At 57.3% G+C, this 13,564-nt stretch overlaps 1 protein-coding gene across 13 annotated transcripts in view, besides 10 other annotated features; it reads left to right on the top strand.

Annotated features, from left to right (window-relative positions):
* Window positions 1-13,564, top strand: part of PISD (phosphatidylserine decarboxylase) — a 44,074-nt gene that overhangs the window by 26,880 nt on the left and 3,630 nt on the right. For 4 of the 13 annotated variants that reach the window (NM_001326415.2, NM_001326419.2, NM_001326417.2 and 1 more), the window contains 2 exons: window positions 9,669-9,922; window positions 11,836-12,001. The exons of 5 other annotated variants lie outside the window; for them this stretch is intronic. In NM_001326415.2, the coding sequence (NP_001313344.1) occupies window positions 9,870-9,922; window positions 11,836-12,001 (219 nt within the window). In that variant the 5' untranslated portion in view covers window positions 9,669-9,869. Of the gene's footprint in view, window positions 1-3,393; window positions 3,503-4,849; window positions 4,882-7,474; window positions 7,683-9,668; window positions 9,923-11,835; window positions 12,002-13,564 lie in introns of those variants that run through there. 4 more of the 13 variants (NM_001326413.2, NM_001326414.2, NM_014338.4 and 1 more) reach the window with 3 other exon arrangements.
* Window positions 1,531-1,580: a silencer, noted in NCBI's record as "silent region_13637". NCBI's record gives its function as "represses an Ori minimal core promoter by ATAC-STARR-seq in GM12878 lymphoblastoid cells {active_cell/tissue: GM12878}" and the evidence as "EXISTENCE:reporter gene assay evidence [ECO:0000049][PMID:35858748]".
* Window positions 3,617-4,304: an enhancer, noted in NCBI's record as "H3K4me1 hESC enhancer chr22:32027367-32028054 (GRCh37/hg19 assembly coordinates)". NCBI's record gives its function as "activates a minimal SCP1, AML or CMV promoter by ChIP-STARR-seq in naive H9 embryonic stem cells {active_cell/tissue: H9 hESC(naive)}" and the evidence as "EXISTENCE:reporter gene assay evidence [ECO:0000049][PMID:30033119]".
* Window positions 4,451-4,610: an enhancer, noted in NCBI's record as "active region_18864". NCBI's record gives its function as "activates an Ori minimal core promoter by ATAC-STARR-seq in GM12878 lymphoblastoid cells {active_cell/tissue: GM12878}" and the evidence as "EXISTENCE:reporter gene assay evidence [ECO:0000049][PMID:35858748]".
* Window positions 4,681-5,100: a silencer, noted in NCBI's record as "silent region_13636". NCBI's record gives its function as "represses an Ori minimal core promoter by ATAC-STARR-seq in GM12878 lymphoblastoid cells {active_cell/tissue: GM12878}" and the evidence as "EXISTENCE:reporter gene assay evidence [ECO:0000049][PMID:35858748]".
* Window positions 4,681-5,322: a biological region, named in NCBI's record as "Sharpr-MPRA regulatory region 13794".
* Window positions 5,028-5,322: an enhancer, noted in NCBI's record as "tiled region #13794; HepG2 Activating non-DNase unmatched - State 1:Tss, and K562 Activating non-DNase unmatched - State 1:Tss". NCBI's record gives its function as "activates a minimal TATA promoter and a strong SV40 promoter by Sharpr-MPRA in HepG2 and K562 cells {active_cell/tissue: HepG2 | K562}" and the evidence as "EXISTENCE:reporter gene assay evidence [ECO:0000049][PMID:27701403]".
* Window positions 7,849-12,306: an enhancer, noted in NCBI's record as "VISTA enhancer hs2240". NCBI's record gives its function as "enhancer in: neural tube[15/16] | hindbrain (rhombencephalon)[14/16] | heart[5/16]" and the evidence as "EXISTENCE:transgenic organism evidence [ECO:0001131][PMID:17130149]".
* Window positions 8,447-8,999: an enhancer, noted in NCBI's record as "H3K27ac-H3K4me1 hESC enhancer chr22:32022672-32023224 (GRCh37/hg19 assembly coordinates)". NCBI's record gives its function as "activates a minimal SCP1, AML or CMV promoter by ChIP-STARR-seq in naive H9 embryonic stem cells {active_cell/tissue: H9 hESC(naive)}" and the evidence as "EXISTENCE:reporter gene assay evidence [ECO:0000049][PMID:30033119]".
* Window positions 9,553-10,106: an enhancer, noted in NCBI's record as "H3K27ac-H3K4me1 hESC enhancer chr22:32021565-32022118 (GRCh37/hg19 assembly coordinates)". NCBI's record gives its function as "activates a minimal SCP1, AML or CMV promoter by ChIP-STARR-seq in primed H9 embryonic stem cells {active_cell/tissue: H9 hESC(primed)}" and the evidence as "EXISTENCE:reporter gene assay evidence [ECO:0000049][PMID:30033119]".
* Window positions 10,659-11,212: an enhancer, noted in NCBI's record as "H3K27ac-H3K4me1 hESC enhancer chr22:32020459-32021012 (GRCh37/hg19 assembly coordinates)". NCBI's record gives its function as "activates a minimal SCP1, AML or CMV promoter by ChIP-STARR-seq in naive H9 embryonic stem cells {active_cell/tissue: H9 hESC(naive)}" and the evidence as "EXISTENCE:reporter gene assay evidence [ECO:0000049][PMID:30033119]".

The following is a 13,564-nucleotide window of genomic DNA, read 5'->3' as shown; positions in this document are numbered from 1 at the left end:
GGACCCACCTGGGAGCTACCTCCAATGGCTTTGAGCGGTCAGTGTGTGGACAAGCGGAGGGACCGTGTCTCAAGAATATGTGGAACTCAGCGGGGCATGGTGGCTGACGCCCGTAATCCCAGCACTTTGGGAGGCAGGCAGATCACCTGAGGTCAGGAGTTTGAGATGAGCCTGGCCAACATGGTGAAACCCCATCTCTACTAAAAATACAAAAATTAGCCCAGTGTGGTGGCAGGTACCTGTAGTCCCAGCTACTTGGGAGGCTGAGGCATGAGAATTGCTTGAACCCGGGAGGCAGAGGTTGTGGTGAGCCAAGATCATTCCACTGCACTCCAGCCTGGGGGATAGAGTCAGACTCTGTCTCCAAAAAAAAGACATGGAACTTAAACACAAGGCTAAACTTCTGGGCTGGAAGGAATCGAGGGATGGCCGACTCAAGATACCTGCAGCCCTGCATGAAGCTGTCTGCCAGGAGGCTCTACCTAAAAGCAGTTTTGTTTTGTTTTGTTTTGTTTTTTGAGACGGAGTTTTACTCTTGTTGCCCAGACTGGAGTGCAATGGCACGATCTCAATTCATTGCAACCTCCACCTCCCAGGTTCAAGCGATTCTCATGCCTCAGCCTCCTGAGTAGCTGGGATTACACGTGCGTGCCACCACACCTGAGTAATTTTGTATTTTTAGTAGAGACAGGGTTTCACCATGTTGGCCAGGCTGGTCTTGAACTCTTGACCTCAGGTGATCCGCCCACCTCAGCCTCCCAAAGTGTTGGGATTACAGGCATGAGTCACCGTGCCAGGCCTAAAAGCACTTTTTCTTTTTCTTTTTCTATTTTTTTTTTTTTTTTTTTTTGAGATGGAGTCTTGCTCTGTCACCCAGGCTGAATGCAGTGGCAATCTCAGCTCACTGCAACCTCTGCTTCCTAGGTTCAAGCGATTCTCCCACCTCAGCCTCCCGAGTAGCTGGGATTACAGGCGTGCACCACCACACCTGGCTAATTTTTGTATGTTTAGTAAAGATGGGGTTTCACCATGTTGGCCAGGCTGGTGTTGAACTTCTCACCTCAGGTGATCTGCCCACCTTGACCTCCCAAAGTGCTGGGATTACAGACACTAAGTCACCACGTCTGGCCTAAAGCACTTTTTCTGAATTCCACCCCAGTCTGCCCTTCCTGAGTGCCTGGGCAGGGCCCTTGGGGAGCTGCTGGTGGGGCTCTGAATGTGCCAGGGGTATCCGGGACATCTTGCAGGCTAGTGGGACTGCCAAAAACGATTCTCAAAGATGAGTGGGGAGTTGGGCAGGGATAGGAGAATCTGGTGTGTAGAGAAATAGCCTGAAGGCACTTTGTGCTTGCCTGGCCTCTCTGCCCAGACGTTGGGGAGGCTGATGCCTGCCTGTGGTTTCTTGTACTAGCCGTTAAGACCCCAGCCATCTTCCTTGAGGGGCTTCTGCCAGCCCCCAGGGAATGAGAATTAGCCAAGAGCCAGGAAATGAGAATTAGCTGAGGACACCTTTTACCCCTGTTCCGCAGCTACCTTCTGTTCCCTGGCACAGGGCATCCCCTTAGAAGTAGTGCATGAAATTCACACAGCTGGGACCTGGCAGAGAATACAGGTGGCTTGACTGAGGCAGGGAGGCCTCCATCTGCAGGTGGCCTGAGAGCCTGCAGAGCCTCACAGTGGCACTAGGTGGCACTCCCACCCAAGGGAGTCCTAACAGAGTGGGAGGCGTGGAAATAAAGGACTCCATGGCCTGAAGGAAATAAATACAAGGTAGGAAAGTAAATTTCCAGACAATTTTTTTTCCCTAATGGAAATTCACTTGTAAGTGATTGTTCAAAATCCAGAGGCATTTCCCCACTGAAAATATGTGTGGTGGAGGTCTGGTTGGAAGGTGGGGTAGTGCTAATCTCGGCCAACTTGTGGGCTGGTTTATGGGTTTCGTTTGTTTGTTTGTTTGTTTGTTTGTTTTTTGAGACGAGTCTCGCTCTGTCGCCCAGGCTGGAGTGCTATGGTACGATCTCGGCTCACTGCAACCTCCACCTCCTGGGTTCACGCCATTCTCCTGCCTCAGCCTCCTGAGTAGCTGGGACTACAGGCGCCCGCCACCATGCCTGGCTAATTGTTTGTATTTTTAGTAGAGATGGAGTTTCACCGTGTTAGCCAGGATGGTCTCGATCTCCTGACCTCGTGATCCGCCTGCCTCGGCCTCCCAAAGTGCTGGGATTACAGGCATGAGCCACCGCGCCTGGTGGTTTACGGGTTTTTAAACACCCATCTGCCTTAGAGGCTTAGAATGGCTAAAAAGCAATGCCAGTGGATGCAGTGCAGCCGAGCTGGCCATTCCACAGGGAAGAGTGTGAGAATCCCAGAGATCTCTCAGCACATGGGAGGTAGAATGTGTGCAGAAGCTGGTCTTTCCTCTACAGACCTTTCTCCCCTGGTCTAACTGGGGCTTGGTTTTGTTCCGTCCCCAGGGACCTGTGTGGGCTGGTCTGTAAGTACTAGAGGCTTTGAGGAGGCCAGGATGGTCTTCCAGGGTCTTTCCAGTTCTGGAAGTTGGTGGTGGCAGGATTCTGCGTCAACATCTTTCTGTGCTTTAATTGCATTTTATCCCATGTCATGTGTTTCCTTGGACCTCTGAGGTGAGAAGGGGTCTGAAGTTTCTTTGGGGCTCTGAGAATGCTGGGATCAGTTACAGTAAGTTCTCAATCTTGATGATAGGTTCTTGGGATCTTCACCTTTAAGCAAAACATAGAATGAAACCAGTTTTACCATAGGCTGATTGATAGAAGCAAGAATTAAGTTCCTATGGATGTTTCTGACCACAAAAACATCACCGAACTTTTAAAGACCCCAAACATTTCTAATATTAACCATTGAAATGTGAGCTATACATGCATTTATGAATGATTAATAAAAAGTTAGATAATTATTTACCTAATTACTCCATTTCAGGGTTGCAGGTGGTCCCCTATCCGATGGGCAGCTCAGGGCACAAGGCGGAAACCAGTCCTGGATGGGATGTCTTCCCATGGCAGGGTGCACCCACACCCACACTCACTCAGACTGGGACCATTTAGACACACCAGTGAGCCTAATGTGCATGGCTTTGGGATGTGGAGGAAACTAGGGTACTCAGAGAACACCCATGCAGACATGGGGAGAACGTGCACACTCCACACAGACAGTAGCCCTGGCTGGAATAGATTTTTTTTCTCATCAGTGTTATGATGACACTATTTGAGGACCTCCCGTAGTGATGTCTGGACAGGAGAATATTAGGAGCAGCTTTGTATAAGGTATCTGCCACCCCTGTACCACATGCTGAGGCCCTTAGGGGTGGCACTGTGCCTTGTTCACCCCTGCCTCCCTGTTCCCATGGGTGCATTGTAGGTATGGAAGAACATGGAAATCCATGGAGGAGGACCCTATCTGTCTTCTTCCCCCTGCCGCATCCCAGGGCTGTGGCTTGTCATGTGGCACTTGCTTGGGCTGGATCCAGGTAAGGACGACAGGTGTATGGGGCTGTGACTGTACACCCTTATGTCCTATTCCAGGCGTGGCCCCCACACCATTTCTCCGCAAGCCCTACAGACCCTCTCCTCCTGTTCCAAACCTTAATTCTTTCTTTCTTTTTGGTTTAAAAAAAGAGGTCTCACTATGTTGTCCAGGCTGGTCTCAAACTCCTGAGCTTAAGTGATCCTCCCACCTTGGCCTCCCAAAGTGCTAGGATCACAGGCATGAGCCTTCATGCCTTAGTTGCTTTAGAAACAAAGATCTCAGTGGTGAGAAGCCGCTGGAATTGTATCCTGTTCAGTGGCTCAGAATGAGGAGACTGAGACTTCTAGGGCCAACTCACCATTGAATAGGGAATGGGCGTGCTCAGTTGCTCCCACAGATGTGAACAAGGCTACTTAATGCCACACCTTTTCTTTGGTTGAATGGTGATCCCTCTCAGACCCTTCCCCTCCCCTAAAAGCATTAAGCTGATTGGTCTGATCCCATGTGGGCTGAGTGCTTGTCGGATGCCTGGCACCATGTGGGTACGGGGTGGACTGCCAAGCCGCAGACTAGGGCCCTCCGATCTAGCGGGGTGGGAAGACAGCATGCATCATCCATCCCATGGGCTCTGCATCCTAGTAGTGAAGCAGGGAGGCCTGTGTGCTCTAGGCTGGGGCGGTCGGACCTTGTTTCTGGCTGCCCTTGTTCGCTGGTCTACATCAGTTTTGGAGTCAGGGCATTCTGTTTGTCAGGGTTTTGCGTGCCTGGAGGGCAGAAGGTTGGGGTGGGAGCAGCCTTGTAGCTTCAAGATGGGATGCGGGAAGGATCAAGGATTTCGCATTCTCTGGAGCTTCCTAGGGCTAGCAGGGGTGGCTTTCTGTTCAGTCCAGTGAAGAAGCTGGTCCTCAGTGAGGTCAGCAGCACGTGGGGTCCTGAGTCTGCCTAGTGTTGGGTCGCGGGTGGTGGAGGGGAGGCAGCTGCTTTGGGAGGCCAGCCACGGGCTGCAGACAGGCGGCTCACAGACCAGCGGACAGACTGAGGACAGACAGGAGGCATCCCTTGGGAGCAGCCGGGCCCACCTTGCTGGTTGAGTGGGGTCCTCCCGTGACAGTGACCAAGCAGAGCTGGTGTCTGCTGCCCTTCCCCTTCTCCCTGGCCTTGGCCCTTCCTCTTAAAGGGGCCCTCGGGTTGGGCGGACGGCCCAGCAGGACTGGGGCTCAGAGGGGGCGGCAGCTTTAAGGGTGGCTGGGGTCGGCCTCCTGCCCCCGCCCCTGGTAGTCTGAGTGGCTGGAGCCCGAGCCCCGCCCACTCGCCCCAAGGCTTCCCGGCTCCGGGAGCGCCCCTAGGGAGTCGGAGCCCGGAAGCTGGAGCCACCTGCGGGTGAGTGAGCGGAGCCGGCGCCCCGGCCCTGCCGGGAGCCCCAGGTGACTTCTCAGGGAGGCGCCCCACCCTGCCCGCTCAGAGGGCCAGTGCCGGGTGGGGGTGCCCTTCTAGGGCCTTCGGTCGCAGGTGGGCTCTCCCAGCTGTGACGACGCGGCCCCGGCCTGAGGAGCCCCGCGGACAAGGTTGAGCGAGTCGTGGGCTTTTTTTCCGTCCCCACGTGGGCACGGCCCGGGCTGCGTGAGCTCACTTCCTCCACATCTTATCTCCTGCCGGGCGCGGGTACGGGAAGTGAAGAGCGTACGGGAAGTGAGGCGGCCGCGGGAAGTGAGGGGGTGCCTGCAGTGAGGCGGCTGCAGGAAGTGAGGGGGTGCCGGCTGGCATTGGCGGGGCCCGGGCTGAGAGCTCCGTCTCCTTGGTGCTGCCGGAGGGCCTGGGGGCAGGCCGCCTGGGGAAGAGGGCGGCGCCCGAGGGCCAGGGAGCGGGTGGCCGGCTTACTGCCTTTGCCCAGAGCCGGTTCCCCTCAGCACCCAGAGTTGTCTGAGAGGAGGTTCCCTGTCTTTGGGCGGCTAGGATAGACCCCTGCGAGTCCTGCCTGCCCTCTTCCCAGGGCCTCCTGGGCTGCCTGCCACTGACTCTGGTCCATGTCGCCCAGGGAGGACCATTTTCCCCGTCTCCTACTTGGGAAGTTTGCCTGCTTCTAGCTCAGGAATGCAGGGAAGGCAGGGTTGTCGCCCCACTAGACGCACGCCGCTGCATGGTGGCCAGGCCTCAGCTGAGCTGGGGAGAAAGTCAGCCCCTTGCCCCCACCCTCGCCCCCGGGGGAAGTGCATGGCCCGCAGTCAGGCCACTGGACACAGGATTTGGGGCCCTGGAAGTTTCTGCTGAGGCTTCAAGAGGGGTGGTCCTGGCGTTCCAGGCGCTTCCCATCAGACAGCAGGAGCCAGTTCTCAGGGTCCTTGGCTGAACACACAAGCTGCAAAGCTACATATACTCCGGCAGAGCTGGCTGCGGGCTGCAGACTGCAGGTGACAGTGCCATATCCCTCACTGCCTGCTCCGCCTTGCTAAGGCTTGAACCAGAATCCACTAGGAGCAGGACTGTAAGTGTATACACGCATACCCCTACACACACACACCCCTGCACCTACACACACCCTCATGCACACACCCCCTACCTACACACACCCCCTCACCTACACACACCCCTTGCACCTACACACCCATACACGCACGCGCCCCCTACAGGCACACACCCCCTCACCTACACACACCCTCGCACCTACATACACACCCCTATATGCGCCCACCCTCACACCTACGCACATGCCTCCTACATGCACACACCTTGCACCTGTGCACACCCCCTCCAGGCACATAACCTCACACCTACGCACACACCACCTATACGCATAACACACTCACACCTACACACCCCCTACACACACCCTCACACCTACACACCCCACACATCCTCGCACCTATACACGCACCCCTCCATGCACATACCCTTGCACCTGCACACGTATCCTCCATGCACACACACTTCCACCTACATGCACCTACCCCTCACGCACAACAATCTTGCAGGCCCCAACCCAACCTGTAGTAACTGCTGCCTGGCCTGGGGTCATTCATCGACTTCAGTTGGAATGTTCCATTCCACTGGGGGGGCAGGTGTTGTGGTCTTTACCCTGGTTGGTGAGGGACGGGTGGGGACACTGCCTTACTGCTCTGGTATGGATCCCCAAAACAGCATGTCCTGACAAAGGTGTTCCCCTACCCCCTATACGGTCCTATCAGCCATTGTTTCCTATTCACAGGGCCGGTCACTCCGCGCAAGTTTGGGTTCCTGTTTTAGAACTGCCACCTAAGCCCCTCTTATTTCATCTTTCCTGTGGTGGAAACCCCTGCCCCCACCGGAGTGTGAGGTTGACTTTTTGGAAAGAGAGGTGAGGTGTTGGAAGCCAGGTCTGAGGCTGCGTCGCGCTCCTAGGTGGAAGTGGGGTTTCTGAGCAGTTGTTCTGGGCCATGGTTGCAGCTGTGCTCTGAGCCTCAAGGGGGTGGCCAGGAGGAATTTCCTTTCCCATTTTCCAGATGTACAAACCAAGACTTAGAGACTACCTGTGACTTGCCAATGCCTTTCCCTGCTCTCAGGGCAGAGGTAGAGGAAGGCAGCCAGGATTGCAGTGACCAGGTTGTCATCAGCCACAAAGCCCTCTGAGTTCTCATGTTGCAGGTGACTGGCCCTTAGGCCATGTAGTGACATTAAAGTCCTATTGGTCACAACCCTAAACTCCTCTCCACAGAATGTCTTTGAGGCTTAGAAGGGAGGGAAGGTGTCAGTGCTTCCTCCATTCTGGATACCCTTCTTGCAAGCTCCTCATCCAGGGCCTGAGGCTCCCACCTCGTGTCACCTCAAGACAGCCAGAGAGGATGAAATCTTTGGCTTGGGCTTCCAGGGCTGTCATAGGCAGAGGGCAAGCCAGGATTTGAAATAGGGAGGCCAGAAACACTGCTGGCCAAGGAAGTGGCTTGGCCTTGGGAAGCAAGAAGGCAGCAACCTCTAGGCGCCCCTTCTCTCCATCCTGCAGCTCTGAGAGGGACAGACGGTGCTCAGCCTGTGTCCTGGGGCAAAGCTGGATTCATTTTCCTCCCTGGCGATCTTCTGGGGCCCACAGCTGGTGATATGGAGGCACTGACACCCTGGTCTCGGCGCTTGTTTTAGAAGAGGCAGAACAGTGATAAAGACAAGGATCTAAATGGGCAAGGACGCCCTGCCCTCACTGGGCTCACTGGCAGGTGCGGTGCCCCAGCCTGGCCTCTCAGGATGGTTCTTAGTCTCTCCAGGGCTCACCTTTCCCTGATGGGCATCTGACCTGGCCCCTGGCCTCATGTGCCTTGATTCCTCAGTAGGGCCCCCTCTGAGACCGGAGGCCAGACCCAGCCCCTCACAGCACCATGGGAGAATGAAATGCCAAGGCTCACAGGGGAACCTGCTTTGAGAACCCAAGGTTTTTGGCCGAGCTGGGTTTATCTGGGTTCATGTCTTTCTAATACATTCAGGGCTGTGGTCGTCACTGTCCCACATGGTAGGTCAGTGAGGAAAACTGGCAGGAGGCTGGGGCTCCCCAAGGCCCCTCCTCTCTGCCTCCCCTCAAGGCCACGCTTGCCTCCCTCTGAATCCTGGCTGTGAGCTCAGTTCCAAGCCTGCACTCTATAGACCAGGGAAAGAGCTTCCCCTTTGGAACCAGGCACCAGGCTCACCCCTGACTGCTATCACCCCTGTTTCCTGGGCAGATGGCAGGAGGCCAGCATGGAGCCTGGTGGGCCAGGGAGGGTGGGGCGTTTGCTCAGTATGTTGGCGGAGTGGTTGGAGTGACATGGCCCTGGAGGCCTGGACACTGGGGCTGTCTATGGGCCTGGGCCTCGGCCTTGAGATGCAATGGGCCTCTTGTGCCTGTGCCAATCTCCTGGTGCCGGCACCTTCCCAAGGGAGGATGCTGGTGTGTATCTGTTTGCTGGTGGGTAGGCGCCCTCCTGCCTGACCCATCTGCAGTGAGCTGTCCCCGTCACTCATTTAGGAGAGGGGCCTGGACCAGCCCCAGCCTGGATCGGGGGAGAAATCCACGCTTGTGTCTGACCTTAGTCACCTTATTGTCCTGGCTCCAAGAGGCCACTGAATCTCATACCCGGGGCTTCGGTGATTCTTGCAGGCAGGTTCCCGGGCGGAATCTTCACCTGTGTGGCTGAGGAGGGTTTGCCAGGGCGTCAGATGTTCAACCACGCGCGACCACAGCGATGTCTGAGTTAGGCCTCATGGCGGGCTGGCCATGCCTGGCCTATTCTTTGCTTTAGATGGCAGCTCTTGGGGCCACATTTCATCATCTAAGGATGGTGACAGGTGCCTGCCCCTTCCTGGGCAGTGGCTGGGGGTGAAGGACTGGAGGGGTGGGCTCCCTGTCAGCCCATATCCTGGAGGGCCTTGATTGCCTGGGCTGAGATAGCACAGCTTCAGCATGTTTGCTCTTCCTTCCGCTATCTGTGCAGGCCAAGGTGGAGAGGCTTTGTAGGGGCCGGGTGTGTCCTCCCAGATAGCCAGGCTGGGGCCCTGGCCAAAGTGCTTTTCTGAAGCAACGATGGAAAAAGGGGAGTGGAACTGGTTTGTGCTGCAGTCCTGGCCTGTTCCCAGCCCCAGGCTGGTTTTCCCCACATGCACAGCTTCTGAGGAGGCCTGGAGCAGGGAGCTGGGTATTTTGTGTGTGTGTTGGTGGGGGGTCAAGGCCAGGAGGGGTGAGGAGAGAGCCAGAGCAGGTAAGATGCCAGGTTCTCACCAGGGCACCTCTCGTGGCTTCCCGCTCATCTCATTCCTCAGATGCTACTTTGTAACCTGAATTGAAAATGGGTCAGGTCCTGGCAAGGGAGGGGCCAAACTGCAGACCGGCTGACGCGGTGCTGGGCCTGGGCCTGGAGCACGGGGCTCAAGTTCCCACTTTGTGCGTTTGGAGCCAAGTGGGGCCTGAAAGCCCTGGCAGCAGTGGCTGGTCCCCTCCCTGTCATGGCTTACTGGACCGGGCAGCCCTAGGGCCTTGCCCCCTACTGCCTCCCCAGGCCAGCTGAGGAAGAGGATGAGCAGTGCAGGCTGGCTCAGCCCTGGGTAGCAGGGACAGAGCAGGTGGCCAGGACTGGGGACAGTGGGCTTTAGTGCAGGGGCTTTTGCACTGGACTGCAAGCCCTGAGCAGGTGACCTGAGCAGGTGTGTGACCAGTGCCTGTCTGTCTGCAATAGCCCTGACCCTCTATTCTGCACCCTGTGAGCCACCGAGACTGAACCAAACCCAGGAAGCGGCGCCACCAACCAGCCTCGCAGAGGCAGAGGCCCTGGAGCAGTGACAGCACAGGAGATCTGCTGGCTCGGGGGAAGGGGAGGAAAGAGGAAAACAAAGGGAGTGATCGAGTGAGCCTCGCCCCGCCCTCCCTGCGCCGGCCCATGATGTGTCAGTCAGAGGCGCGGCAAGGACCAGAGCTCCGCGCGGCGAAATGGTGAGATGCTGCCCACCGCGCCCTAACCCCACGGTTCCCCGCCACGACCTCCGGAAGGTCAGAGTTCACATCCAGCGGCCTCGCAGTAGAGGTGGCGGCAAGGGGACTGGTGGTCAGCCCCCGAGGCTGGAGGAGCCTGGCCTGGGGGGCCTGAGCACCCTGAGTCGGAGAGCCCGCTTCAGGTATCTTTGGTTCCAACCATGAGGAGGGCCCAGCAGGGGGAGGCTGCCAGCGAGCCTCAGACCTCATGCCTGCGATCTTCCCTACCCTGGTGCTCCCAGGCCCCCTGCTCGCAGCCCAGACCCTTGCCTCTGCACCCCACCTAGGAGAGAGGCTTCCCCATTCCCCTTCCTGCCCATGGGAGGGGTGTAGCTCTTCCCAGTTGGTCCCTGCTCTTCTGCAGTGAGTGGGGCAGGTGGCAAAGCCAGAGGGGAGCAGTGATTTGTCTTTGCTTGGCCCCTGCCACCTTCCTGGACCTTTTAAAAATACACCGGGGTGCGATGGGAGAGAAAGTAGGCACCCGGGAGCTGCGTGGATGCAGCCAGCTCTGAGCCTGAGCCTGAGCGGGGTTCGCCACTGGTTCGCCTGCCGTCTGCTCTGCTGCTATCAGCTGAGATGCTGCTTTGTTCCTTGGTTTGCTCAGCAACTGGGAGAGAGGACTCAGCTTCTCTTGAGAGCACAGTCCCAGATGGCAGCCGTAGATTAGCTAAATGCAGTTACTTTGCAGATGAGGAAACTGAGACCTGGGGACGTTCTGAGTGGATGGCAGTGTGGTCTCCTGCTGGCTACCCTGGGCCTCAGGAGCATTTGCTAGGCCTAGGCACAGACAGGGTGGGGTGGGCCTTGTTTAGGCGCAGGAGGCCAGGGTTGTGGTGGAAAGGCCCGTCCAGCCTCTGCGGCTCTGGTGAAGCTGAGCCCCTGCTGAGTGCCCTGCATTTGTGCTGGGAGGGTGGGGAGAGGCCGGATCACAGAGAGGCTGGATGCAGAAAGGAGGGGCTTGGGTCTCGTGTGTGTGTGTGTGTGTGTGTGTGTGTGTGTGTGTGTGTGTGTCCACCTTTGCTGAAAGGAGGGGCTTGGGATGGGTGTGTGTGTGTGTGTGTGTGTGTGTCTGTCTGTGCAGCCCCAGCAGAGCAGACAGGTGGCTTGAGAGCTTGTGGTGGGGAGGTTTTGTTCACAAACCTGTGGATGGGTTTTCAGAACCTGGCCTGTTATAGAAAGACCATGCAGATGGATGGAGCCGTAGCTGTGTGGTGGTGGTAGGCGGAGTGTAAATGCTCCCTTTGAGATCTTGTCTGGCCTTGGCCCCGTAATTTAGCAGATGAGGAAAGGGGGGGCCTGGAACCATGAAAAGGATATCCCAGATCCTGCAAAGGATGGTAGCGGAAGACTCAGCAAATGGTTACCCAGCTGGCTGGGTCGTAGCTCCTCAGCGCTATGTGCTGCCGTGCCAGTGCCTGTGTGGCAGAGCTGGCCCCTGGGGCCCACTCTCCTGGGCTGCGGAGGCTGAGGGATGTGAGGCAGGCCCTACACCCTGCTCTCCCCTTCCTGGGCCCAGGTGCTTGGGCCTGGAGGCCCTTGCTGGGAGCTGCTGCAGCTGAGAGGTGCCCCGCAGCTGGGCCTGACTCTCCTCTTGCGGCTGCCCCCACATTCCCAGTCCTCCCCAGCTGGCTGGCGGGTGGGAGAGCCTGGGAAATGAGTCCGCTAGCCAGAGGCAGCCAAGCCCCTGAATCAGAATGGGGTTGGGACGAGGGGGCACAGCCAGTGCTTGCTGGGCTCCATCACCCCCATGGAGAGGCAGCTTGCCAAGGGTGGGTAGACAGGAGGAATCCTGCCCTGGGTGCAGGTGGCAGCCTCCTGGGTCCTGCCCAGAGCCTGGCCACTGACCTGGCTGTGCATGGACCTGTGCCCTGCAGGTTGCACTTCCCCCAGCTGGCCCTGAGGCGGAGGCTGGGGCAGCTGAGCTGCATGTCCAGACCCGCTCTGAAACTGCGCTCCTGGCCCTTGACCGTCCTCTACTACCTCCTGCCCTTCGGCGCCCTCAGACCGCTCAGCCGGGTGGGATGGAGGCCCGTAAGCAGGGTAAGTGTGCACAGGCCCCTGTGGCTCGGACCTCCCTTCCGGGCAGGCCTGAGGTTGGGGTGCAGGAGAGACTGAGGTGGTGGCGAGCTGTCAGAAGCAGAGGTCACCGCTACATCTTCAGGGGGTCCGGGTCGGAAGGTTCATTGGTGGGCAAGGCCAAGGCAGCTTTTGAGAAGGCCACTACCTGGGCCGCGGGTGACTGCGAGGGCATGTCGTGCCCTGCCCACTCCCCTAGCCTGCCTCATGTCTGCCATTTGGGGCTCTGGTTCTGGAAGGAACCCAGTCTGGGGATTCAGAAAATGGTGTCTGTCTCTGATTTTTCTGTGTTCAAGCAAAAAAGAGCTTATAGGTGATTTTGAACAGAAGCCAAATTAATTCCGGGATGCCAAAGGGGTGGTTCAGGATGGATGGATCCTGTTTGGGTCCCTTAGGGTGAGGACACCCTTAAGGAACCCAGAGGCATGCCCCAGGAATGGGCAAGGGAACTGGCTTGTCCTCTCCTGGTCCCTAGAGGGCTTGCTCTTGCCCTTGGCTTCCCAGGCAGGTTGACCCCAAGGAGGAAACCCTGTTCCTGGGCCTTTGACAGTCACATGGGTGTCATCAGAGCTCAGGGGCACTGAGGCACCCTGGACATTAGCCCAGGCTCCCACCTGTGCCTGGGAAGGGCCTGGGCTCACATAGCCCTTCTGTGTGACTGGGCATCAGCTGGAAGGGATAAGAGCAGCTCTCTGGGAGCTTACCTTACCTTGGAGAGGTGTTGAAAGTTGGAATGAAATCAGTTTTACACCTTGGGGAGTTGGTGTCTTGGTTGTGTTTAGAGAAGCAGCAGCCACCAATTACAGGCAGCTTCTACAGTGGCAGCAGCACCTGAAGTTTAAGAGGCTGCCCCTTCCTGGGTACCTGGCCCTGCCGGAGAGCTCTGGGACCATCTAGTGGGACCCAGTGCTTGTCCCCAGGCCATCGTCTGTCTTAGGTGCTCCAGGCTTCCCTGAAGGAAGAGAGAACAGAGGGGCCTGAGGGGATGACTTCTCTTTGCCTCCTGGGAGGAACCCCAGGTGCAGATGGCTTTATGGCCTGGCTCAGTCACAGTAGAACGTTGAACACAAGTCCTGCCGTGGGGCCAAGGTGGGGCTCAGCAGGGCTGGGCTTCTCAGACTGGCTGCATCCAGGCCCTCAAGAGTGCTGGCTGGACCTGTGGGGGCTGCAGACCCTGTGTCTGCAGCTCAGGCCCAGGTGACAGTGACATCGCAGACCTGCATCTGAAAATCCCTGTTGGTGCTCAGGGTATCCTCCTTCTTCCTGTTAAGACAGAGGGACACACTTTGGGCTGTAGACTTGTTCCATGCACTTGGGAGCCTCCTCCTTTGGTGGTCTGGGATATGGGCAGTGACCACGGGCAAGATGCCCACCACCTCTCCACACACTGTGATATTGGGGTCACCGTGGCTAGGGTCACACACTGTGGTTAGGATCAGATCCGTTTCCGACCCCCACTTTAAGAAGTAAGACTGCTGGGCGTCTCCCGTTCTGGGACTGGAGCAGTTGCTATTTGACTTTTGCATG

Source organism: Homo sapiens, chromosome 22 (assembly GCF_000001405.40).
Source record: "Homo sapiens chromosome 22, GRCh38.p14 Primary Assembly".
Lineage (NCBI taxonomy): Eukaryota > Metazoa > Chordata > Mammalia > Primates > Hominidae > Homo > Homo sapiens.
The sequence above is the reverse complement of the archived record's forward strand: the minus strand, read 5'-3'. Positions and strand labels throughout refer to the sequence as shown.